At 36.1% G+C, this 27,230-nt stretch overlaps 1 protein-coding gene across 3 annotated transcripts in view, besides 3 other annotated features; it reads right to left on the bottom strand.

Annotated features, from left to right (window-relative positions):
• Nucleotides 1-27,230, bottom strand: part of LNPEP (leucyl and cystinyl aminopeptidase) — a 101,434-nt gene that overhangs the window by 58,548 nt on the left and 15,656 nt on the right. Inside the window, exon 1 of one of the 3 annotated variants that reach the window (NM_175920.4) lies at nucleotides 20,190-20,533. The exons of the other annotated variants lie outside the window; for them this stretch is intronic. The gene's annotated coding sequence lies outside the window, so the exon portion shown is untranslated. Of the gene's footprint in view, nucleotides 1-20,189; nucleotides 20,534-27,230 lie in introns of those variants that run through there. 3 annotated transcript variants of the gene reach the window in all.
• Nucleotides 15,347-15,641: a silencer, noted in NCBI's record as "tiled region #4368; K562 Repressive DNase matched - State 5:Enh". NCBI's record gives its function as "represses a minimal TATA promoter and a strong SV40 promoter by Sharpr-MPRA in K562 cells {active_cell/tissue: K562}" and the evidence as "EXISTENCE:reporter gene assay evidence [ECO:0000049][PMID:27701403]".
• Nucleotides 20,669-20,728: an enhancer, noted in NCBI's record as "active region_22829". NCBI's record gives its function as "activates an Ori minimal core promoter by ATAC-STARR-seq in GM12878 lymphoblastoid cells {active_cell/tissue: GM12878}" and the evidence as "EXISTENCE:reporter gene assay evidence [ECO:0000049][PMID:35858748]".
• Nucleotides 21,679-21,728: a silencer, noted in NCBI's record as "silent region_16201". NCBI's record gives its function as "represses an Ori minimal core promoter by ATAC-STARR-seq in GM12878 lymphoblastoid cells {active_cell/tissue: GM12878}" and the evidence as "EXISTENCE:reporter gene assay evidence [ECO:0000049][PMID:35858748]".

Here is a 27,230-nt window from a genome sequence, read left to right as displayed (position 1 = left end):
CATCCATTAAAAACTAAAACATAAATAAAAGTATACCACAGTTATGAAACAAGAAAGCTAAATAAACAGGCTATTATATTTTTAAAAAGTTAGCTGAGATAATATACTAATTTCCTTAATATACTCCTGCCCCACAACCTGGGACCCTGCCCTGGGCTTGAGAGGGCACTGTTTTGGCATTCCTCTGACTATGTCTGTCCCCACCAGGCGAGGAGTCAGTAGGATCAAAGGGATGTGCCCACCTACAGTCCACGGTTCCCCTTCTAGGGTTTGGGCACTGCAATCCCAGAATTTCTGTCCAACAGGCCTCAAATCTGCTTCCAAGGTATTTGTGGGTCTCATCCCTGAGTCTCATTCTCTCTAGGGAGCACCACAAGCTGGTATGCCCATTTCTAAGATTGAGTATGGCTAAGCAACAGGATGGGTTATTGTTTTCCCCTGAAAGAGGAATGTTTCTGTCCCACAGCAAATGGGAAGCAGCAAATTATATGGGAAATTTCCATAAGCAAGAAATGATTTTTAAAAAGATCAAAAGACAATAAAAGTCAGATAAAATTATAATTCAATCTGTTTTTCATGCTTCCATGGCTTTCAGAAGTACAACATATTTCCATGGGAAACAACCATACTGCACACCATGAGTGTTAGTGGATCTCAGTGGGAGCTTTTACAAACTACAACAAACCACACCTTCCGATTTGCCAAAATCACTGAGAAAAAAGACTCTAGAAGTAGAAGGGTCGATAATCCCCCATATATCAGTACTTCCTAGGATTAGATCGTTCAATGTTTTTTATTTAAAATTCATACAATTTTAGTTTTTAAGGGATCTCAAAAGTTATCAAATTGAAACCTCCACTAATCTTCCCTACAAGGGAAGATACTTTATACCTATCATTTCTAACCCTTACAACAATCCTATAAAATGGCAAGTATTCTATTTTAGACATGAGAAAATAGAAAAAGAGAAATAGATTAATTCGTCTTCATAAAGTCACACAGCTATTTAGTCATAAAACTGATATTAAAGCACAGGTCTAAAAATTTGATTCAAAAGTTTATGCTCTTTTCATTATATTGCATCCCTCTACTCAAACTAATTCAATAAAAGATGAGAGCCCTGAATTATTTATTTCATACCTGGCAATGAAGTTGCTAAGAGTATTATTTCACCATCAGGAGAGCAAAGCTTACAAAAAACTACTGAATATCTAGCTTAAGATAAATGCTATGTATTTTGTGCTATTCAACAAACACTGTAATGGTGGAAACTCTTCATCCATAAAACATATTATTGATAAATATTAGGATAAAATTTGCAGTTTTGCTGTTCAGTGTGGCCTGTGACCCTGCAGCATTTGCATCACATTGCAGCTTGTTAGAAACGCAGCCTCTGAAGTCTCCACCTAGAATACGAATTTTAACAAATCCTCGGGTGCTCACGTGCACTTAAGTTTGAGAGGCACTGGTATAAGCATCTTCCATGGTCAGATCCCAGCCAGCACTAAATACCATTCCTGAGTATGCTCTGGCCATCCCAAACTGCTTACTATTTTGAGCACAGGCCAGGCAGCTATTCCACGCTATCCTCCACATGTCTCTTTTTCTTTTCTCTTCCCTCTGCTTGCAGTGTCATCATCTCCCTTTCCCATGCCCATCCACCTGGTATTCCGTACCTCAGCTTAACTTGCTACAACACAAATTAAGAAAAGTTATGTTTTTTTGTTTTTCCTTTGTCTTTATTACCTTTAAAAAATAAACTTTCTTTTCATTTCACTTCACCCATTTCTGCTTTGGGGAGCATATGGATCACAATGAGGTTACCTTTTCCTGACTCCTCTCCAACCTGAACTGTATACAAGTTATGCTACTTTAAAATTTTTATTTGAATAAAACTTCTAATCATTTTCTAGGTATGAGTTTAGCATTCTGCCATCTACCCATCTACTATGAAAGAAGAAGGGTTCTAACATACTGCTTTTGGGAATATAATCTCCTAAACTTCCTATAGTGCCCCAATTTCTTGTTAAAAAAAAAAAGTATGTTCTGTTTTGATAGTTAATAGTGTTTTGGGTCATACACTTCATTAACAGAGCAAATATTGCTGTATTCAATTTTTTAAAATTGCTTTTAAAACTCTTAATGATTAGAAAGTTTCTGTAGTAGTTTTTTGGTTCCTGGCACACTGCTGTAGACTAGCTTAATTTTTTTTTTTAATTTAAAAATGTCTAAAAAGGCCTTTTTTGACTTTTTTACCACACATGGGAAGATTATGCTCTCAGGCATTTGCCCCATGTGTTTTGTTCTGTGTCAGGCCTACTGCAGACAACAATGGGTTCTGTACAGCATGGTTTTATTTACTATATTTCTGAACTAACTCCAGGTACAATCTCAGCTTAATATTTAGAGCATTCCAATCTCTCAATTCTGTCCCCTTAGAACTTTGTTGCTGTGTTTTTTTATTCTTCTGCCATGCCATTTAAAGCCAAGAGATATTCTACAGTTTGACAATTTGGTATCTCCTGTCTGCATGTCATTAATTTCAAATCTTCTGACAAGGGCTTAGTCAGATGCCTGCCTAAATCCAAATAACTTACTTTTATTATTTCACTCCCAGTCAGAATAATACCAACGTAGAATTTTAATCTTTCAGAAATGGAGATCACATCAACCCATTTGCTATATTTCACTGTGCAATATAGAAGCACAGTTTTTTTTTTGTATGCACAATCATATCAAGTTAAATATATCAAATCAGGGAAAATCACTTTTATTACAGGTATCCCATGAAGATACATGAAGGTACTTCAAGCCTATTTAAGAAAATGTTGATTTGATTCTTAAGTCAGTACACTTTGATTTTGGCATTAAATTGTAACATAACACATGATTACCCCTTGCTCGATGGGATTTATTCCTACTGAAAGAAGGGATCCTAAAGAAACAGGGAATTTTCTAAAACCTCTTAAATCCACATATAGAAGCTATCTATAAGTCAAAGCAAAGAACCTTCTACTGAAATGTTTCAGTTTTAAATAACATAGGCCCATGTGGTTATAATCTAAGAGAACTGAAGACATTTCTTTTCATCAGATACTGTGAACTAGCATTCCTCAATGTTGTTTGTGGACCAGTGCCAATGTGCAAAAGTGTGACCCATCTGGGACAGGATATACATAGACTATTAGTACCCAAAAACTTTTATGACAATTTGACAGAGTAATTTTTATGTGTATTGAATTTAATAATGTATAAAACTGAGCTATTTTTGTATGTCTTTTTTCATTTCATTTTTCTAATTAATTTTTTTATATGCTACAAAATTTCTGCAACAGATTAAAAATTAAAAAAACAGAAACAATAAACCCTGGTTCTTCAGCTCAGATAATGTGAGAAGCAGTGAGTTAGACTGTCACTATAATGGCAATAACAGTCAAGATAAAGTTCTTAACTATGTCAGTAGCAGTGAGAATAAAGAGGAGGGTATGATTACAAGTCACGTCAAAAAGGTAGATGCACAAGAACTGATACTACCTCGGGCTAGATGGACCTGCAGGGTAGGAGACAGAGAAAAGTCTATGTCAATTCCCTTTACATTCCAACTTGTATAACTGAAAAGAAGGAATGTCATTCACTGAGATTGAGAATATAGTCTTTCACATTTTCTAATTTTTTTTGAGGCAAGGAAGGAGAACAGGATTATGAGATGGCATTCAGTGTAGGATATATCTGTCAGATAACCAGGTGGAGATGTTTGATTAATAGAGTTAAAGGCCTGATTTTAGGTAGACGTTAAAATCCTGGCTTTTCCACTGACTTCAAACAGGTTACCTTTCTTAGCCTCAATTTCCTCACCTATAAATGTGGGAAACAGTGCTATTTTGTAGAATTGTTAAAAGGATTATGTTACGTGGGTTTAGAGCTCAAGAGAGTGATCTGGGTGGAAGATTCAGGTTTCCGAATCACCTGTGCAGATATGGTCATTAAAACCATGCAGATAAATGAGACTATCGAAAGGGAGACTCAGGGAGGATCAGCATTTAAGAGCTGGGTGGCCAGAGGAAGAAGGTCAGCAAAGGAGAAGAAATGGACCAAAGGTAGGAAAATCAGGAGTGGCATCCCAGAAACCTAAAGCTTTCATAAAGATGAAAGTGGCCAGCATTAAATATTTTAGAAAGGTCAAGTAAAATGAGGCCTAGAGAGACCCTTACATTTGGTAACCAGGGAACCAGTGACTTTAATAGTGAGAGTAGAAGCCTGATTCCAGGGGCCCAAAGAAGAAATGGAAAGTTAACAAAAGAAAACAAGGACTGCAGACTATTCTTTGAAGGTATGTAGTAGTTTATCAAGGAAAAAACATAGGGATAAACTAAAGGAAAATGTGGTATAGACAAAACTTAAATCCTTTTGTTTTTCATTTGTCTGTGTTTAAGATGGGAACAACTTGGGCATGTATTTCTGCAGGAAAGGAACAGTAAAGAAAGACAAAATGTGGAGGTGAAGGAGTAGGGGAGGGAAAATGCTGGCGTAGCATCCAGAGGGACAGGGAGAGTGTACAAGAAAATGATGGGAGCTAGGTGCTCTCCCTCCAAGCCTGGAGGACAGGAGGTAAAGACAGAGAAGAGGCATGTGCATGGGCACAAAACAGCAGAGAGCCTTCATGTTCTCTGTGACAAGTGCAAGCAAAGACATCTGCCCAGAGCTAAAGGCAAGTTGTTGGGAAGGCATAGGGGCTTGAGCAGAATGAGGGACAGGTGCCATAGGAGAGGGCCAAGGAGTGGTGACCCCAAGACAAGCATGACTGAGAAGGTCAGAAACCCCAGTGGAATTTGTCATACCACAAATCTCTAAAAAACATCTTCAGCACTTCTTACCAGCCCAGGTCTAAAAGAAGAGAAGTGTTATGTGTATTTTACCACAATAAAAGTTAAACAAAATGTTTATAAAAGGTAGAGAAAGCAGAGGTAGGAGACAGAGACAGGGTTAAACATATAGGGAGGATGTGGTGAGAAGGCAAATTTACAGTGCATAGAGGCTACCGGCAAGAGAGCAAGTCATCAATTGAGGGATACAATTTAGAAGACAGGACAAAAAGCGAAGCCATGACAAACAACATTAACAGCAACTTGAACTAAAAGAAGCAAACTTCTCACAGACTTTAGAAGGATTAAAGCTTTAAGCTGCCATCACATTTTCTGAGAAAATGTAATAGGATGTACAGCTGTCCCTAGGCATCTGTGGGGGATTCATTCCAGGGCTCCCTGTGAAACCAAAATCCAGAAATGCTCAAGTCCCTTCTACAGAATGCTGTAATATTTGCATCTAATCTTTGCATATCCTCCCACATACTTTAAATCATCTCTAGACTACTTATAATATCCAATCCATTGTAAATGCTATATAAATAGTTGTTATACTGTTATTTTTTAGAGAATAGTAACAAGGAAAAAAGTCTAATATTCTTCTGAGTCCCCTATGACATATTTATATAGAACTATAAGTTCCAAGTATGGGACAGCACTTAAAATATTTTCTAGATAAATTTCCAAAGTGATGACTAAGTATCATATAAAGTAACTATTTCCCTAATGAGAATACTCTTCTATCAAAAAAAATTCTATTTTTTTTAAGTTTAAGCTTAAAAAGAAAGAAAAACACTAGAATTTAGAACAAAAAAAAGGTGATTTTTTTCTGGGTAGGTCCAAATGGACAAAACACTACCCAACCCCCGCTAAACCCATACTCAAAGAAAATCTCTTCCTGTTAATTACAGTGCTCATGAGAAGTTACAAGTTTAGATGTATCTTATCTCACCAGAATCTGAAGGGCAGTCATTAACAGCAAACAAGTTTTGAAGATGTATCTAAGTCGTCCCTTTTCCTGACACCTGTTTGTGTAACACCTCAATGTATAAGCAGTGGCATAAAATATGAACATGTAAAGTCCCGCATGCATTACTACTTTACCCCTAGTATATTGTGCTTTTTCACAACACCTTTAATTTTCTAGTTCAGAGGCCCAAGGTCATGACATTGGAGCAAGATCCAAGTAAGGTCTTTCTTCTGCTGCCCCTCACCCTGACTTTGTCTCCCTTGTGAAGAGAAAAGTAAATGGATGACTGAGGGTGGGAGGCGAGAAGATCAGCGAGCAATGATTCAGTCCATGAGCATACTGGGAGAGACTTCAACTTTCAATATAACAGAGTAATTGGTACCAGATTATCATTCCTCTCATAAACAACTATTAAACTAGACAAAACAATACACCTGTTTGCACATACTAGCTAACAGAGTGTGACCTCTGAGTGAAGGAACAGGTGAGCCCACAATCACTCTGGTTCTCTGGGGACAATTTCCCAACTGTAGTTCAGCAAGCTAGGGTCTAAGCAGAGCAGTGCTGGTGAAGGGGGGCACGTGCAGAGGGGAGTCACAGAAGTTTGCACAAGGTTTTCTGAGAGTCCTTAGCCAATTTAGGACATGAGGTGTAGAAGAAAGTAGCTGCAATAAGGTTAAGACAGAACAGAAATACTAGAGGTCAAGCAGTGCAGGGAAGTAGTGGCAGGTCAACCCAGCCAGAGCAAAGAGAACTCATAACACCCTAGGCATCAGCTTGAAACACTAGAAAGGCCTCAGTGTAGAAGTAAAGGTGACACCCTAGAATAAGACCTACTCTAGATCCATAGTAACAAAGCCTAAAACCAAGCCCTAATAAAATCCACAGGGGAAAAAGTATTTAAGGATGAGTCTCACTAAGTTAGAGGAGCCTGATAAACACCTTAGGCTTTCCACAGATCTGCCTTAAAAATAAGCCTACACAAGGTGATCAGCCAGTAACTAAGCTGTCTACAGAGACAGAGAGAGAAAAATCAACATTTTACAGAGTTTTTTTTAATTCAGCATCTCTACCATGTGCCATTGACACTATTCAATATGTAATAAAAAATTACTAGACATTTAATGAAACAAGAAAATGTGAACCCTAAGTAAACAAAATCATTAGAAAGCAATCTTAAGGTGGTCCAGATATTGCATTGTATTTAGTGAGTCTTTAGAGTAGCCATTATAAATAAAAAAGAATCCCTGAAGAAGACGTGTTTTATTATTTTTCAATTGTATCCCCATCATTAAGCAGGAAGATGTATTTTAAAAAGGAAAAAATGAGAATATGTGAATAGATGAGACTCTCCGTGGGGAAATCAAGACTAAAAAAGAACTAAATGAGAGGGAAAAAAGAAAAATCTAGGAGAAAAAGGTTCAATAAATAAAATGAAAAAGTTACTAAATGGACTTAATGGCAGATTGGAGACAGCAAAAGAAAGAGTCCATAAACTTGACAGATCATTAGAAATTACCAATTTGAAGAACAATGAGACAAAGGATTGAAGAAAAATAAACACAGCATCAGGGATCTGGGGGACAGTATCAGACAGTCTAACATGTATCTAACAGGAGCCACAGAAGGAGTGTGAGAATGCAGCAGAAGAAAATATCTGAAGAAATAATAGTTAAAATATTATTAAGTTTGATGAAAAACACCACTTACCAGATCCAAAATGTTCAGCAAACCCCCAAAAAGATAAATACACACACACACACACACACACACACACACACACACACAAATAATAATGTCTTAAGCACATCATGGTCAAAACTGCTTAAAACTAAAGATAAAAAGAAAACCTTTAAGAGAACCTGGAAACAATGCTACATACAGATGAACAACAGTACATACACTAACTTCTCATGTCAACGGTGGAGGCCTGAAGATGATAGAGCATTTTTAAAGAGTTGGAAGACAAAGAAAATTCTAAACTCAACTTTGCACATACAGTGAAAATATGCTTCAAAATCAAGAGTAAAAGACATTTTCAAATAAATGACAGCTTACAGAATTCATTTAGAACACATTTTCCTCAAGTAGATGTATACTACAAGAAATTTTAAAGGAGGTTCTTCAGGATGAAGGGAACTACTACCAGACGGAAACTCAGATCTTCAGGAAGGAGAGAATACCAGAAATAATACATGTTAAAATAAAAGGTGTACATTCTTTATTCTTCTTATAATTTCCTTAAAAGACTATCTTTAAAAACTGTATGCTTAAAACCAAAAAATAAAAGACAACAAAAGCACAGAGAATACAGAAGTTGAGTAAGAGAAATTAAGCAGAAAGGAAGAAGGGTCAGGTATAGAATGTGAAATGGTACAATACTGACTATACACAGACTTAATGATGCATATTATTAATCCTAGAAGAAACACTGAAAAAGTGATTTTAAAAAGATGCATAGTTAAGAATCCAATAGAGAAAATAAAATGAAATACTAAAATTGCCCACTTAATCCAAAAAAAATGAATAAAGGAGAAACAGATAAACAAAAACAAAAGGAACAAATGAAAACAGTGGCAACATGGTAGACTTAAACCTGACCTATGCATTAACTGTAAATGGATTAAACATTGTAACAGAGACTGTCACAATGGGGACAAAACAGCAAGAAACAACTATATACACTGTCTGTAAGAGATGCATTTTAAATTTAGACACAAATAGATTAACAAAGAAGAATATTTTATGATGATAAAAGGAGAAATTCAGCAGGATATCAATCTTAAATATGTATACCTAATAACAGTGTTTCAAAAAGAAGTTTTTTATGAAGAATAGAACAAACAAAAACATCCACAACCATATCCTTTCTCTTCATAACTGATAGAACAAGTAGACAACAAATAAGTAAGGTCACGGAAGATCGGAACAATACTATTAACTAATTTGACCTGACATTCACAGAATATAAAATCAAACAACTGCAGAAATACATATGAAACATTCACCAAGATGGAATAAAGCAAAATAAAATAAAATAAATCACAATCAACTTCAAAAGACTGAAATATGCTTTTTAGAGACTTTGTTCTCTAAACACAATGGAAACAATTAAAAAATCAATTAGTAAATTAGGTAAACAATCCCTAGATATTTGGAAAATAAAAACAAAAGACTTTAAGTAATCCATAAGTCAAAGAAGAAACCACAAGGAATATATAAAATATTTGAAATAAATAATAATAAAAACATAATATATCAAAATTCAAGAAAATTTATTGCTTTAAATGCCTATATTGGGAAAAGGTTTAAAAATAACGACATTTCCACCCTAAGAACCTAGAAAAGAATACCAAATTAAACCTAAGTAGAAAAAATAATAAAAAAAAAACAGGGCAAAAATCAACAAAATAGAAACCAGATAAACAACTGAAAAATAATGCAAAAAATGCTGCTAGAGGGCAGGAAAGTAGTGTGGACGGCTCTAACTCATATTCTCCTAGAAACTGGCCCAAAAATCCACACATACCATTGTCCTGGTGCATCTCCAAAACCAATTTTTCACTTCTCAAAAGTCTAGTTAGGTAATTTAAAGGGACAAATCAGAACTGGGTCACAGGCTAGAGACAGAGATCTTTTAACAAGCCCAGCCGTCTTACATCTGTCCCTCTTTCAAGACTATCTGGCAAACACAAAATTATTTAGCCAGTAATAATACCAGTTATGCCCAAATTTAGAAAAATACAGTATGTTCTCCCTCTCCTTTCAAGTAAAAAGCTAGGGAAATTTTCTTTGTAAATCCAAATATTTAAAATGAACTACAGAACTGCTATTTAAAGGAAACTTCTTATGAGCTCATCAAAAGTTAAAAAAAAAAAAAGCAAGCATTCTTAAGCAAAAAACTACTTAACATTCATTTTTGTATTTGGATTTCTGTATTTCTTTCTTAAAAAGGGAAACTCCTTTTAAGTGTCCACTTAAATTTTAACTGAGTTTTTCTGGATAGGAAAAAAAGCCCTCATTTTGAAGTATCTGATTTAAAATTCTTACTTCATTTGAGGTAATCACAATTCTGAGGCTCATTTTGCATAAATATAACCATTCTGCAGTTGTTCAGGTCACAGCTATGTGAAACAAATCTCCACAGCTAGGATCTTTGTTCTAAATCTAAGAGACCCAGTGGCCCTGTATATAAACAAACTAAATTGGTCCTCAGCTCTCAGCCATGCTTCCACAAATCCCTAAAGCACATACAACCACGCACAGTGCCTGCTCTGCCTCTGAACAGCATGTGAGACCATACACATGTTACAAACATCTTGGTTTCTCTCAAGCATGCATGGCAGCTATAGCCACTTCACTTTGTCCCCTTATCCCATCCTCTTCTCTGCAGCCCATAGGCTTTTTTTCTCCCTCTTTATTTATTATACCGGTCCAATGTAATCTTTTCAAATTCCTAGTTTCTTTCACCTTTAAAAAAACCAATCCAACTATTATTGGAACAAATGTCTTACTCTGACCAATTTTCCTACTCTCCCTAAAAGAGTACGCCATACATAGTAAGATGTACAAATGTTCTCTTAAGACAAAAAGGTTATAAGAACTGCAATAAAGAAATCCTTAAATGGGCCCTGAAAAAAATAACCCAGAAGACTTCCACAAATATTATTATATTCACTTTCCCCCCAGGGTAAGTCCCTGGACAATCAAAGAAAAACAACTTGATTTATAGTAAACGACACTATCTAATAATCATTCTAAAAGTAATCCTGCCAACTTGGGGGATTATCCAGTACAGGCTTGCTTCTTGGTAGCCACTGTACATAGAGTTTTGTTTATAATTAGACTGTGTAGTGTTAATTATGCTGGTTGCCCTGCCAGTATCCTACAGAGGCTACAGGAGGAGATCAAAACAATCATTCCAGAATTATGAGTCACTTCACTCTCTCCCCACTACACACCACTGGCAGCCCCTCAACCCTGGAAAAAGGAAATTATGCACACTATTTGCCTATACAGTCTTTCACATTTAGGATGAAATATTGAGTTCCAAAACCTGCTCTACATTTACTTTTCTAGAATAACGGATACATTTCAATCCTGGTAACTTTTTGCTGTTCAAGAATTAGAAGTTGAGGATAGAAGGTTTAGGAAACTCTCAAGGCCCGGTTTATGCTGTAGAAAAAAAGAATTTCTGCATAAGTAAACTGCAATTATAAATTTTGCTCCAAATATGAATAATTCCTCCAAGGAGAGGTTCATAACCTCATTCATCTTTGTATTCCTGGTGCCTAGCAGGGAAGAAACCTGCCATAAATGTTGAAATGAAAGTAGCAATAATCTAATATATTAAAATGAAGTATAAACAAAAATTACCTCCATGTCCATGCATAAACTCTTCAAGGGCTGAATCCAGGTTTACTGGAGGCTTGGAATAAGATAAAATTCATACACTGTCTATAAGGTTAACAAGGTCCTTCTAATACCTGCTGTGGGGCTGGATCTTAAATCAGGAGGACTTAGTAGTATTTCAGTGACTATGGGATCTGAGTCACTGCCTTTCAGTTCTACTAGACACTGATTCTTGAGAACTACTTTTTATATACTTACTACTTTTCCTCTTCTTTCCTCAAAGCTGGTTGATAATTCAAGTCAATTATGGTTTAGAAGACATAAAATATAGTGAAGACGCCAGGCACAGTGGTTCATACCTGTAATCTCAGCACTTTGGGAGGCTGAGGCAGGAGGATCACTTGAGGCCAAGAGTTTAAGACCACTCTGGACAACACAGTGAGACCCAGCTTCTACCAAAAAAAAAAAATAATAATAATAGCCAGGCTACAAATTGTAGCTGTCATCCAGTACGTTGAGTTTTACTGTGTAAATGCAGTATAGTACATGAACATGGCCTTTAGAGACACTTAATTCTTAGGGATGTTTTGGGAGCAGTTATAGTGTTTTTATATCAAGGCAGCCATTTGACAAATGTCTTAGAAGTCAGATGACTTAAAATGTAAAATCTGTGTGTCAAAATCTCTGTGAAACAGATAATATCTAAAGTTCCACTATACCTGAGGGTTCTCCACGGACATTGTTCCAGCTGACCCTAAAAGACGTCAAGAGGCCAGAGTTGTTGCTTACGTAAGTGATTTGGTATTTTTGGTGTTAAAGGCAAAACAAGGTTTCTGGACTTTTCATATTTTAAGAATTTACCTACTAATGTGTGCTGTGAATGACAATGAAACATCATTTTTAAGGCATGAGGGGGAAATTATGCTAATGAATCTTAAAGAGAAAGACTAGTGTGCTTTGCTGAAAAGTTAAAGACACGTTTATTGTCTTATGATTTTGAAGCTTCTAACCTAATTATTTAATATAATAGCAATGAGCTCTTTATTAATAAAGCACTTCATAGTTTGAAAAGTGTTGTGACCCACTTATCTTATTTGACTCCTACAATAATATAAGTAGACAGGGCAGTTATTATCCACATTTTACCTTTGAGAAAACTGAGGTTCCGACATATACTAAGTGGTAAAGCCAGGACTCCATCACTGGTAGGGCCAGGTTTCTCTTCACTACACACACACACACACACACACACACACACACACACACACACACAAATATATGTAAGACAGAGTCTCACTCTGTGACCCAGGTTGGAGTGCAATGGCACAATTATAGCTCACTGCAACTTCAAACTCCCAGGCTCAAGCAATCCTCCCACCTCATCCTCCTGACTAGGTGGGACTACAGGCATGTGCCACCATATTAAGCTAATTTTTAAAAAAATTTTTGTAGAGATAGGGTCTCACTATGTTGCCCAGGCTGGTATTAAACTCCTCGTCTCATGCAATCCTCCCACTTCTGCCTCCCAAAGTGCTTGAATTACAGGTGTGAGCCACCACACTTGGCCTCCATCACTTTCAAATTCTCTACTGCGTTATATTTATGAAGTCTAATCGCAGCTGTGCAGTTCTATAGTCCTATAAGCAAAAAATCAACATTACAGTGCTAAAGAAAAGAAGCAGAAAAGATGAGCCACTTCTGGTTTAATTTTGCACATTGTTTTAAATATCTATCCAGGAGAACATTTTAGTTGAAAAGGAGAAATTCCACTAGAGAATGCCAATGACCAAGGACAATTGCAAACAGAAACAAAAACCGTAGCACATAAAGAATCCTGCTGTGAAAAAGATCAAGGACAGGACCAAATAAATAACTATAATATAATACAAATCTTAATCATAAAATCTAAAACCTAAAAAAATTTAATGAGGAAGAAGTCATTGCCTTCAGTAAAAGAAGAAAAATGACTATCACAACAAACAAGGTAGAAATTCTTTTAACCCATGTTGACTTAACAAACCTCCAAATTAACCAATGTCTTCCATTCTCTCTGTAAGACATTTTCAGATGCTAAGTGCTCAATGAATGCCCACAACTAAAGGGCTACTCTCCAGAAGGTCCAAGCACATATGCTCTCACCAGAGGCACTCTACTCTAAGAATTAGTTGTTTGTTCTCAAGCTGATTTATGTTAGTTAAACTTGTAATTATGGTTTTATAATAATTAAATATTGTGTCATTAAATGAAAAATATAAAAATTGTTTTTATGAAAACTGAGTTATGTATCAGAAAGATCCTACAAAAATGAGTCCTCAAAATAACACTGCTGCCAAATTAGGTATGCGCAAGAAAAACCTAATACCTTGGGGTTGGGGGTTGGGGTTGGGAGGCAGAATTCTAGGATTTTTGCACCCAGTCTTCAAAATGCCTGCATTCTCAATCTACTTTTTTTTTTTAAGGACCTGGAAATTACAGATGAATGAAAGGCAACACATATCCACATGTAAAAAGAAAGATGAAGAACTCTAATTAGTGGACCCAAATGCAAAATGAAAGCTTTGGTCACTAAGACAATGTTAGCTACAGACAACCTACTACTGTACTATCGAATGCTAGATCTTACTCCTTCTAACTTTATTTTCATACCCATTAACAATAATTTACTGTACAGTGCAAAATAGATAGAAGAATTGGAATGTTCCCAACATAAAGAAAAGATAAATGTTTGAGGTGATGGATATTCCAACTGCCCTGATTTGATCATTACACACTGTATGCATGTATCAAAATGTCACATCAATTCTAAAAATATGTATAACTATTATGTATCAACAAAAAACTGCAACACCAGAAAAACAAGAAAATATTAGCAACTAAGTTTATACATTTTGATTTGTAAATGAAATGCTAAAGAAATATATTTTTCTTAATGGTTGCTATTTCAAATTAGCTTTCAGAAATTTCCCTTTCACATGATCTCAAACATAATGAATTCAGCTCTGCAACATTATACTCACTAATAAGTTTAAACCAGAGAATTCTTAAAATCATGCCTCGTCAATACATATCAAAAGTCCAAAATACTTATTTGACCAAGTAACTTCATAGTAGGATTTTTTCCTTGGAGTAAGTGCCAGAGATATACATATAAGAATGTTTACAGCAGTATAGTTTACATAGCAAAAAAAGAGAAAAACCTAAAACAACAAGGGATAGGTATATTCATACTGAATAAGATATTATGCAGACAAAAAATTATTTATACCTATTTTAAACATAGAAAAGTATTCAAAATATAAAGAGAGAAAAGCAGGTTATAAACATTTAAATAAATATCCAGTTGGATACACTGAAAATAAGAAGGTTAACTGGTCATTTCTGAGAGGTGGAGTTGTCGGTATGTTGGGTATTTATATTATCTATATTTTATTTTTATATTAAAAAATAGAAATAAACCTCTCAAACATGTACAGATCATGTTTTCATCTGCCAAGATCTTAATAAATTAACAAAAAACTATCAATGCTATTAGGATGTTTTAGAATTGATCCACGACAGTGAAATCAGGAGACAAGGATATCACGATACAATCTGCTATTAAAAGTCAGACACAGAAAGACAAATACCACATGATCTCACTCAAATGTAGAATCTTAAAAAAAAAAAAAAGTTGATATCAATCATAGAAGAGCAGAGAGTAGAACAGTAGTTACCAAAGACTGGGGAGGGGACAAGGGAGAAGATGGGGAGAGGTTGGTCAAAGGATAAAAAGTTACAATTAGATAAGTGGAAGAGATTCTGGTGTTCTATTGCACAGCAGGGTGACTGTGTTTAACAGTAAAATATTGCATATTACAAAATGGCTAGAATAGAAACTTTTGAATGTTCTCACTGCAAGCAAATGATAAATGCATGGGTGATCAATATACTACCTTACTGGATCATTATATAGCACAGATATGTATCAAAACATGGAATTATACCCCATAAATATGTACAATTATAATGTGTCAATTTAAAAAATTAATAAACAAAACATTCTTTTTTAAAAAGGAATTTGCTATTAATCTCCAATTATTAGGTGAAGTTTCTATCGCCACTGAATCCAGCCTTGTAACTTGCTTTAATCAATGGAATGCAGCAGAAATGACACTGTGGAATGTCCAATCCTAGGCTTTAAGAGGCCTTGTAGCTTTCAACATTTATCTTTTACTACTGGAGAGCCCCATGAGAAGAAATCTAAGCTAGGCTCCCTGGGGACGAGGAACCACATGGAAAGCCAAACCCAGTCAAAAGCCATCATCAACTGGCAGATATGAGTGAAACTATCTTAGACCATCCGGCTCCAAGTCAAGCTGCCAGATGATGACTGCTACAAGAGTGACCTCATGCAAGATCAGCAGAGGAAACACCCGGCAGAATATAATCCAAACTGTTGACCTAAAAAATCATGAGCAAAGAAAATGGTTGTTGCCTTAAGCCATTAAGTTTTATGATGTGCCATGCAGTAATAGAGGATCATTTCATTCATAAATTGATCACTACACTATTATCACAATTAATGTTTTGGTATACTATTCTTAGACTAATTTATCCCCTAAGACAAAATTGAAATTATATGCTACATACTAGTTTTATGATTCTGTGGCATCTTTGAAATGGGAACACATGCAGTGTCTCATGATTACTTCAAATTTCAACTCAGAAACATAAGGAGAGAATGAAACACTTGGTATTCAGAACATTTTGTATTCTTTATATAAAAACTCCTCCCTCTGTGCAGCTGTGAGCTTTTTCTCTTAAGCCCAAAGGCCTTGTTGTACGTGACTTCATAGGAAGCTCTGCCTGGGGTCCTAGCACGGGACCAGGTTAGACACTGAAAAAGTAAAACCAAGTTCATCATCGTCACTACCACCACTGACAATGTTGATAAAAGCCAACATTCACTGAGGGCAAATCATATGCTAATACCCAGCTAAGCAATAAAGAGACGGCACAGCAGAGTAATTAAGAATATCTCTGGAAGTTGGTCCCAGTGCAGTGGTATTTACAACTAATGGATCACAACCAGTTACAGGCTTATTTGTTCCTTCTCCACCCTCATTGCTTCACTTGACTAGCCTGAAAAAAAAAAAAAAAGAATAAAGAAAAGAAAAAGAAAAAAGGGTATCTCTGGAACCAGACTGCTCTGCCACTTCCTGTGTAGCCTTAAGCAAGTTACTTCATCTTTCCAAGCTCAGTTTGCTCATTTATAAGATGGGGATAATAATATTATCTATCTCATTGAGTTATACGAATTAAATGATATGTAAAAGCATTTAGAACACAGTCTAGCACACAGTGTGTACTCAAAAAATTATCAGCTGTCTATATTAATTAGCATTTTACACACATTAGTTAACATTTAATCCTCACATTTTACAGCTGAAGTGAGAAACAAAGAGGTTTAAGAACTTGCTATTAAGTAGCAGAGCCAAGTTCCAAACCCACCATTTTTTTGACTGCAGTACGTATACCCCTTTAACACCCTTTTAGACTTTGGGTATAAGTCCAGGAATGTCAAATCAAGTCCCTAGTTCCAACTAAACGCTTCATGTCTACATAGCCTCTGGAGAAGGCTGGGGGGTCACAGAGCCACCTCTACATCACAACTAAAGAGTTGCATGGAGGTTTAGGATAGTACCACAAATTCTAGAGATAAACACAACTCCAACAATTATAGAAATGTGTAGAAACACATTGACACTGTGGTTTCTACAACTCTCTCAGCCAGGTACTTAGTAGGTATTCAAAAAAGGTTGGCTGATGTCTCAACTAAATTTACTGTATTACTACTTCATCATGGGCAGTAAACCAGGCTTTCCCCTCTCCCCTTTCTCTCATTAAAATTATGAAATTATCCAAATACAGTTAGTCTGTATCTACAGGTTCCAGATCTATAGACTGAATGGCAGATTTAAAAAAATTGAAAAAATCAAAAATAATAATATAATACAGTATAATTTACATAGTATTTACATTGTATTATGTTTTGTAAGTAATCTAAAGATAATTTAAAGTAAATGGGATGATTCGTGTAAACTGGTTATATGCAAATATACAGGGATTGAATATTGGTGGATTTTGGTAGGGGGGAGGGGATCCTGGAACCAATCCTCAGAGGATACTGAGGGATGAACGTACAGCACAGTGCCCATGCTGCTGACACTTTGTTTTGCTATTTTTAAAAACCAGAAGCTTTTTTAAAAAATAGCTATTGCTATTTTAAAAAACTGTAAGCTTTTTAAAGAGAATCTCTAATCCTATTACATTTATAAAAAAAACAATTAGCTTCTGTCCAAAGATACTCAGCTAGTTAGTAAAAATGACAGGAACCAAGCAGATTTCTTTTTTTAATTTTTAAATTTTAACTTCTCTAGAGGAAGATAGAAGTGAAACAATAAGTGAGTTTAACCCACAGAACTGCTCAGCTAAGTTTAGTTCTACCCAAATTCTGTCTGGTGATTTTGAAAATAACCGCTTTCCCATACTTACAGGAAATGGTTAAGCAACCTCAGAAAGTCATTTGTTTTTGCATGGTAGACAGTTTTTTTTTGTTTTGTTTTTGAAAGGTGAATCCTTTTCAAATAATAGGAGAAGCATTCATCAACTGAAGCAAGTCTACAACATGGTACAAGTTATTACTTTATTCTAGATATTCTTTTTCCTTTACAGGAACAAAAAGAACACAATATTTAAATGAACTTTCACATTTATAATAAAATGAATTCTCAAAACTTTAAGACCAAACCAGAACAACAAAAATCATTAGAGAACAGATAAGCTGATGGTTGAAGACCAAGCAACATGGTTTCATCTTGGTCTCAAAAAAGAGACCAGACATGATTATGGAAAAAAAAAACATATTTTTTGAGAAATTTCTCATGTTATACAGTATAGTAGATAGTTTCAGAAAAAAACTACTCTCTTTTTTTCACTATAGCACTATTTGATTCTTAGAACAGTAAAACATGGTATTTGAGATGAGAGACTGTATAATTTCTAATAGAAAAGTTTTCTGCCTAGGTGATAAAACTACTAATTTTTAAAATTTGGTTTTTGGTGCAAATAATTCTAACATATTTTACTATTTTCCCGTCTTCTTACAAACACTAGTCTGAAGAGATTTATGGTCATCATAAAAGGAAAAGTCACTGACTACACTATACTTGTTGGGACACAGAACTGTATCCTGGCTGAAAAGGTAGAGAATGAAACCCGCCAACCCACACCCTAGAATGTGACCAATTTGCCTAAAATGCATTTCAATTAACAACTAAAGATTTAAAGCAATTCATATTGCATGTGTTGCTTTAAGTTTTAGATTTCTACATTGAACCAAGTTTTGCTGCAGTTAGTTACTCCAGCTACGTTTCAGTGGACTTGTTAGCGTAACTGAAGTTCAATTTTAATTATGATTCATATATTAGTCAGTAAACATTTCTTCTACTTAAAAATATTTATTTAATAAAGTCAATTGTAAAGTCTGAATTAAGATAAATTTTGGCCAGGCACGGTGGCTCACGCCTGTAATCTCAGCACTTTGGGAGGCCAAGGCAGGTGGATCACCTGAGGTCAGGAGTTCGAGACCAGCCTGGCCAACATGGTGAAACCCCATCTCTACTAAAAAACAAAAATTAGCCAGGTGTGGTGGTACATGCCTGTAATCCCAGCTACTCGGGAGGCTGAGGCAAGAGAATCACTTGAACCCAGGAGGCAGAGGTTGTGGTGAGCCAAGATCACACCATTGCACTCCAGCCTGGGCAAAAGAGTGAGACTTGGTCTCAAAAAAAAAAAAAAAAAAAAAAAGATAAATTTTAAAAGTAGTTGGCTGAATTTAAAATGTGTTGAAATATACATGTGAATATTATTTAGTACTATTACTCACATTAGAGCCATGAATAAGACTTATAATTTGAAATGCACAAGAAATTTTCATAATCAAAAATTTTAGATCTTCCCAAGTTTAGAAAATCCTCAGATACTCAACTTTGGTCAGATATGGAGAATTAGCTATAGAGGATGGATTTAGCTAAATCAAATTTTAAAAGTCTAAAACTAAAATCATATTAAATCAATCATATCTACTAAAATGTCACTTAAGTCTTCAAAAGTTGTTTTAAAAATCACCATCTAATATAAATGGCTAAAAGCTTCATAAAAAGTAAAAAATAAGGAAGATTTCAGCAAATTATTAAATTAGATAAACATAATTACATTGATATTTAGGTAAACTGACCAAGGATCACATTTTGGTGATCATGAGCCATGTCAAAATAATCCCATTCCTATCTCTTCCTCAACTCTACCCACAAAAGACTACAACAAAATACAGAGGTAGTTATATTAACTATAAATTAATTAAAATTTCAGAGTAAAATCAGCCTTACAGAAACTATTCTGGGACGTATTATTTGTTCCAACATTACTTCTACATACAGCAGCCACTTGTCTACTTCATCAGCTCAACATATTAATCATTACTCTCCACATCCTCTGTAAATAAGATTAACTGGTATGGTCAACAGACTAATCCTCCCCCAGCCCCCAAAATGTCCATGTCCTAATCCCTAGGGACACGGTTACAGACCTTGAGATGGAAAGATTATCCAGGACGGCCCAATACAATCACAGGGGTCCTTAAAAGGCAGAAGAGGTTGGGAGGCCAAGGCAAGCGGATCATGAAGTCAAGAGATCAAGACCATCCTGGCCAACATGGTGAAACCTCGTCTCTATTAAAAATACAAAAATTAGCTGGGCATGGTGGCCGGTGCCTGTAATCCCTACTCGGAAGGCTGAGGCAGGAGAATCGCTTGAACCTAGGAGGCAGATATTGCAGTGAGCCGAGATCGTGCCAGTGAACTCCAGCCTGGTGACAGAGTGAGACTCCGTCTCAAAAAAAAAAAAAAAAAAAAAAAAGCAAAAGAGGCTATCAGAGTGAAATAATGAAAAAGGACATGACTTACCTTTGGTAGCTTTGAAGATGAAGGAGCAGGGCCAGGAGCCAAGGAATGTGGACGACCTCCAAAAGCCAAAAAAGTGCAGGAAATGGATCCTGCCCAGAGCCTACAGAAAGGAACACACAGCCCTGCCAACTCCTTCGTTTTAGCCCAATGAGATCCGTATCAGGCTTCTGACCTGCCAATAACTTTAAGATAAATTTGTACTATATTGCTTAAGTTTGTGGTAATTTGTTATGGTGGCAATAGAAAACTAATACAACTAGTCCCCACAACATGCCTGACATTCATGGCTGTACGGCTCCACTTCTGTACTTAGTGGAGTTAGGAGCTTGCCCAAGTTCAGCTGTGGCATTTCGAGTTATGCTTGGTATAGCTATTAGGTAATTCAATTAACTTGCAAAATAGATGAAGAAAGCAATTCTGAGAAGATCAGCTGAAATCACTGGAAAAACTCAAAAAGGCAAGCCACTAAAATTGTTGTTGAATTAGGTAGGAGACAACTCTAAAAGACTGGGGAAAAAAATTGAAAGTCTAGACAAATTTTGCACTCGGACCGCTTCACAGGTGTCCACATTTTCATTTCACTTTATAATAGGTTATAGGGTCAAAAACTTGCTGAAGCAAAACACACAGGGGTGAGTTTCTGTTTTAATATTGTTCCATTTCCTTTCTCTACTTTGCCCTGAAGGCAGGCTTTGGTCACAGAGTGGTGTGGAAATGCCAACAGGTAAAATTCCAATGAGTCCCATATTTCTATCCAGAGAAACCAGAAGTAGACCCTGTAGGCTATACAGCATGGGGGAAATCCCAGAGGGGAGAGAATCAGAAAAGAGGATCCCTTAAATCTGTGCATGAACCTGCAAAAGTTACAGAATAATCACTGAGCTACATATGTGCAGAACAGACTCAAACCAATATAGCAAAGTCTATTAGTTTCTATTGCTGCTATAACAAATTAACCTCAAGCTTGACGGCTTAAAACAACACAAATTATCTTAAGATTCTGGAGGTCAGAAGTCTACAATGGGTCTCACTGGGCTAAAATCAAGATAGCAACAGTGCTGTATTCCTTCTGGAAGTTCTGGAGAGAATCCGTTTCTTTCTGTTTTTCAGCTTCTAGAAACTGCTTACATTCCTTAGCTTGGGCCCCCCTCCCATCATCAAAGCCACAAGTGCAGGCTGAATCTTTCTCACACTTTGTCACTCTGATACTGACTCTTCTGCCTCACTTTCTCACTTTTAAAAACCTTATGACTACACTGGGCCTAACTAGATAATCCAGGATAACCTCTTTATTTTAAGGTCAGCTGATTAGCAACCGCAACTCTAATTGCAACCTAACTCCTCTTCATTATGTAACCTAAAATATTACCAAGGCTTCAGGGATTAGGAAATGGACATCTTTGGAGACCATTATTCTGCCTACCATACAAAGGCTAGGAGAACTAAACTAACATTGGAGCCACTGGCCACAGATGGTGAAACAGAACTAAGGTCTGAACCTGAGCAGGGTGATCGCCAGCCAAAACAAAAATATCAACATTCTTCAGAGGATAAAAGAGTCTACACAATATAACACCCATAATGTCCAGGATGCAAGCCACAACTACTTGAAATACAAAGGACCAAGAAAATGTAAACAATCCTCAATGGAAAACGCAATCACCAGATGATGGAATTATTGAATACTTTAAAGCGGTTATTATAATTATGCTCCACGAGGTAAAGAAGAACATATTGAAATAAACAAGAAAGTAAAAATTCTCAGCAGAGAAATAGAAACTATAAAAAGTACCAAAATAAAATTTTTAAACAGACAACAAAAATTCTTAAAAGAAAAATTCACTGAATGGCCTGAAGAGCAGAATGGTGATGACAAAGAAAAAAAAGTCAGTGAACTTAAAGATTAACAGAAATGATTCAATTTGAGGAACACAGAGAAAAGAAAGATTGAGGAAAAAATAAACAGCGCCTCAAGGACATGTAGGGCAATATCAAAAGGACTAAAACATATGCAGTCGGAGTCCCAGAATGACTGGAGAAAAATATTGGGGCAGAAAAATTATCTGAAGAAACAATCACCTCAAACTTCACAAATACGGTAAAAGACATCAATGTACCAATTCAAAAAGGAATAAACTCATAGAAAACCAAGACACAAAATGCTGCAAACCAAAAGTAAAGAAATACTCAAAATCAGCTAGGAAAAAAATTCAATATATTACATACAGGGTAACAATTCACATTACCATGGATTTCTTTGAGATGGAGTCTCACGCAGTCGCCCAGGCTGGAGTGAAGTGGCATAATTTCTGCTCACTGCAACCTCCGCCTCCAGGGCTCAAGTGATTCTCCTGCCTCAGCCTCTGGAGTTGGTGCGACTACAGGCGTGCGCCACTACACGTGGCTAATTTTTTGTATTTTTGGCAGAGACAGGGTTTCACCATGTTGGCCAGGCTGGTACCATGGATTTCTTAATAAAAAAAACTCTGGAAACTAGAAAATGATAGAGCAACATCTTTAGTGTTTTTATATAGAGAGAACTATTAGATACATTTGTGTAATATATTTATGTATATATCTTTGTATAAGCCTGTATTCAGAATATTTGAAGTATTCTTACCACTCACTAAGATGACAAATAATCCAATGTAAAGGAATGGGCAAAAGATTTAAACATTTAAACAGCCATTTCACAAAAGGTGAACTAATGGCCAAAAAACCCACTTCTCCTTGTCCCTACACAAAGATAGTCAACATCAGAAGTCATCAGGGAAATGCAAATAAAAACCCAAGTAACCACATCTACTGGATTGGCTAAAATTAAAAAGATTATTTTACTAAATTAATCAGCATTGTCATATACCACTGATGGAAATGTGAAATGGCACAAACAGTTTGAAAGATAGTTTAGCAGTTTCTTAAAAAGTTAAAACTTACAGTACCAGATGACCCAGCCAATCGACTTATGGGAATTTACCCCAGAGAAACAAAACTGAATGTCTATACAAAGACTTATACTAGAGTGTTCATAGCAGCTTTATTTGTAATAGCCCCAAGCTGAAAACAAATGTCCATCAATTGGTGAATTAGTGAATAAACAATTATGGTAGATCTGTACAGTGGAATACTATTCACCAATTTTTTTCTTTTTCTTTTTTGAGATGGAGTCTCACTCTGTTGCCCAGCCAGGCTGGAGTGCAGTGGCACAATCTCGGCTCACTACAACCTCTGCCTCCTGGGTTCAAGTGATTCTCCTGACTCAGCCTCCCAAGTAGCTGGGACTACAGGCGTGCATCACCACATCCAGCTAATTTTTGTATTTTTAGTAGAGATGGGCTATCGCCTTGTTGGCCAGGCTGGTCTCGAACAACTGGCCTCAAGTGATCTGCCCACCTTGGCCTCCCAAAGTGCTGGGTTTACAGGCATGAGCCACCGCGTCCAGCCCTATTCACCAATTTTTAAAAAAGAAACCAGTATGCTGAGTCAAAGAAGTCAGGCCAAAAAAGAGCACTGTATGATTCCATTTACATAAAATTATATAAAATCTATATAATTCAATTTATATACAATTCTAGAAAACATAAACTTACCTATAATATCAGAAAGCATATCAGTGGTTGCCAAAATATGGGTATGAAAAGAGGGATAGAAGGGTCATTTTTTGTTTTGCTTTAAGTTTTAAAAACATAATTGCAGGCCGGGCGCGGTGGCTCACGCCTGTAATCCCAGCACTTTGGGAGGCCGAGGCAGGCGGATCACGAGGTCAGGAGATGGAGACCATCCTGGCTAACACGGTGAAACCCCGTCTCTACTAAAAATACAAAAAATTAGCCGGGCGTGGTGGCAGGCGCCGGTAGTCCCAGCTACTCCGGAGGCCGAGGCAGGAGAATGGCATGAACCCAGGAGGCGGAGCTTGCAGTGAGCCGAGATCGTGCCACTGCACTCCAGCCTGGGCGACAGAGCAAGACTCTGTCTCAAAAAAAAAAAAAAAAAAAAAAAAAAAATATATATATATATATATATATATGTGTATATATATATGTATATATATATGTATATATATGTGTATATATGTATATATGTGTATATATGTATATATGTGTATATATGTATATATGTGTATATATGTATATATGTATATATGTATATATATATATAGAGAGAGAGAGAGAGAGAGACTTGCAAGAATGAGAAGAATGAGGAATATGCAACACTTCAGCACTCTGATTTTAATTATACAAAGGCCAAATCTGAGAAGCTTATTCATTTGAACAATTATTGCACATTCTCATATGCTGGATTCCAGGTCTTTGCTCCACAAATTCTGTCCACTCACACAAAGGAACCATACAAGGTCTTCTGTATAAAAGTATTTCTGACACTTAACTATAAACATCAGCAGAGTGAAGGGCTAAATTTCTATAATGTCAGTAAGTATTTCAAGGTATTTTGAATGAATGGGTTAGAATGGGTAGGTATATCATCTACTTTCATATTAATAGAATTCTAGCTCAGGCCAGCTGACCTTATAATTACATTTCAGGATGTACATGTTTACATCTGATCACAGATTACCATATGTCTTATTTTAGAAGGAAAGAAAAGGAAGATAGTTTTAGGGTTGTTATTGATAACTTCAACTTGGAACTTTATAGTCTCAATTATCTCTATTTTAGCATGCCATAACCCAATACTAATGTCTACAGAGAACCTTGAGATCACTGACAATGCTGCTGTGGACAGATTAATACAGAGTATACACTAGCAACCATTTTATTTATTCTGCAATGTACCTAGTAATCAAAGGCTTGGTGAGCAATCCTTAACCTCAAGGATAAAAGCAAGCACAAACTGACGAACACCGGTTAGAAACTGCTATGGGTTCAGAATCAAAAATAACCTTTGCATTATGCCAACACAAACATTTCTTATATTAACCTCTATCAACACATCTGGAGTAAAAAACAAAACTTGAATTAGTATACATAAACTAAGACATAGATTTGTTTGCTTCTTAGAAATTAATATTTTAATTGAAAAAGAAAATACCAAGATACAAATGGACAAGAGAAAACTTTCAGATGAAAAGCCAAGATAACACATGAAAATCCTAGAAATGAGAGAACCACACATTTTTATATATGGCAACATATTATTTGGCCACATATTATGTTCATATAAGGGAAGCCAACATGCAGGGAGTGAATGTCCTTTTGTACGTCATTGTATTCTACGGCATAAACAGGACTTTAAATGGCCTCAGGGATGTCTGGGTTTCTGAGAAACGTGGGAGAAGGAGGGTAGAGGTAGCAATTATTAATGGAAAAAGAATTAGTAACTCAGTTTTAAGCAAGTCTTAGGTGCTAATCAAACTCCTCTATTAAATTTGCTCTAAGAAAAGGACACAATAAAAGACTCCAACCATTTTGTGATTATACCTGTCTCTGTGTCTATACCTTACTTTCACACTAACAAAATGCTAATCAGGAATGCGAGGGTCAAGCTCTCTTTCATAAAACCCGGTATGTGTGAACACCTGGATGAAAATCAGTGTGTAGCTTACAGGAAGTACCTTCCTTTCCCTACTGCCAGCCAAATGGAAATTACATTATAGCAAGCCAATAGATTAACCATCTGTTCCAGGTATAGTCAAACCCCACGGGCTGGTCCCAGGCTGACCTGGTTAGGCCCGGGGCAAAGCTTGAGAAAGCAGATCAATCCTAGTCATTCCTGGCCCCAGAAAGCCCAGAAAAAGAGGGCTGATTCTAGTCCTCTTAAAGGTCTAGATCATTCTATGGCAGGGCAGGTATGAAACAAAGGGTTTTGTATCATCTGGGATTCCTGGGTCCAGAGATCAAGAAAAGTAGGAGAAAAAAAAAGTAAATGAACTTAGCCAAGTAGGCCTTTAATTTATGAAAACTAAGATTAGTCTAAGAGATCATGAAAGGGCTGAGAAATTAAATGATGTGTCTCTATTATGTTTTCGTTGAGGGGCTGGGGTGTTGGGAAAGGGGCAGCTTGTTGAAAACCCTTTGGATATAAACAAAAAAAATGGGGATAAAAATAAATGATTTTTAAAGGCAATAGTTTAAGAAAAATCTGTCTCTCTCTACTTTAGCACCATCTAGGGCTGAAATAAATGACGGTAGAATCCGCACATAACCAAGGCATCTGATAATGTGGCCAGTCAAATATGCCTGGCCAGAACATTCCCCTCCTGTGACCTAGATCTATCTTAAGAAACTTGCTGCCCAATTCCAACAGCTCCACTTTCTACCTTCTGTGGACTCCTAAACTATTCCTCTCCAGTTCCTGAAAAACGCAAGATTAATGTTCTCAAGATGTGATATGGGTACACCTAGAAATCCCTGATACCCTTGCAGGAGGCCTTCAGAGTCAAAACTATTTCATCATAATATGTTATATGCCATTTTCACTCCACTTCTCTCATGAGTGTACAGCAGAGTTTTCCACAGGCTACATGACTTGTGCTATTACAACTGACTGAATGCAGAAGCAAATCTGAAAATCCAGTTGTATTCTATTAAGCCAAACATCAAAAAGATTTGCAAAAATGAAAAATAATGCATCTCACTAATCCTTTTGTTTTGGAAAATAATAATTCTCTTTTTTTTAAATTTTATTTAATATGTAAAAGGTGTTTATTGTTATTAAATAAATATTTTTAAAATGTTAGTGTTAATTTTTAAATATCTAGAGAAATAACTCATACAAACAAAAGCTCTTAGGGGTCCTCGATAAAAAAAATTTTAAGAGTGTAAAGGAGATTCTAAAACCAAAATGTTTGAGAAGCATAACTCTGCCTTCGAAGATAAACTACTCCCAAACTCTCCAGACATCTTGATCCAAACATGCAAGTTTAGTATACTAAAAGCATATAGAGTAAATACACAAAGTAAATAAATACAGAAAGTCTGAATTGCTTCAGTGCAGGACAAAAATGGGACAAGGGGTTTTTTGGATCATCCTGAATTACTGTGTCCAGAAAAAAAAAAATTGAACTTAACTATAGATGCTTCT

Source organism: Homo sapiens, chromosome 5 (assembly GCF_000001405.40).
Source record: "Homo sapiens chromosome 5, GRCh38.p14 Primary Assembly".
NCBI classification, from domain to species: Eukaryota; Metazoa; Chordata; class Mammalia; order Primates; family Hominidae; genus Homo; species Homo sapiens.
This window is presented reverse-complemented; position numbering and strand designations above follow the sequence as displayed.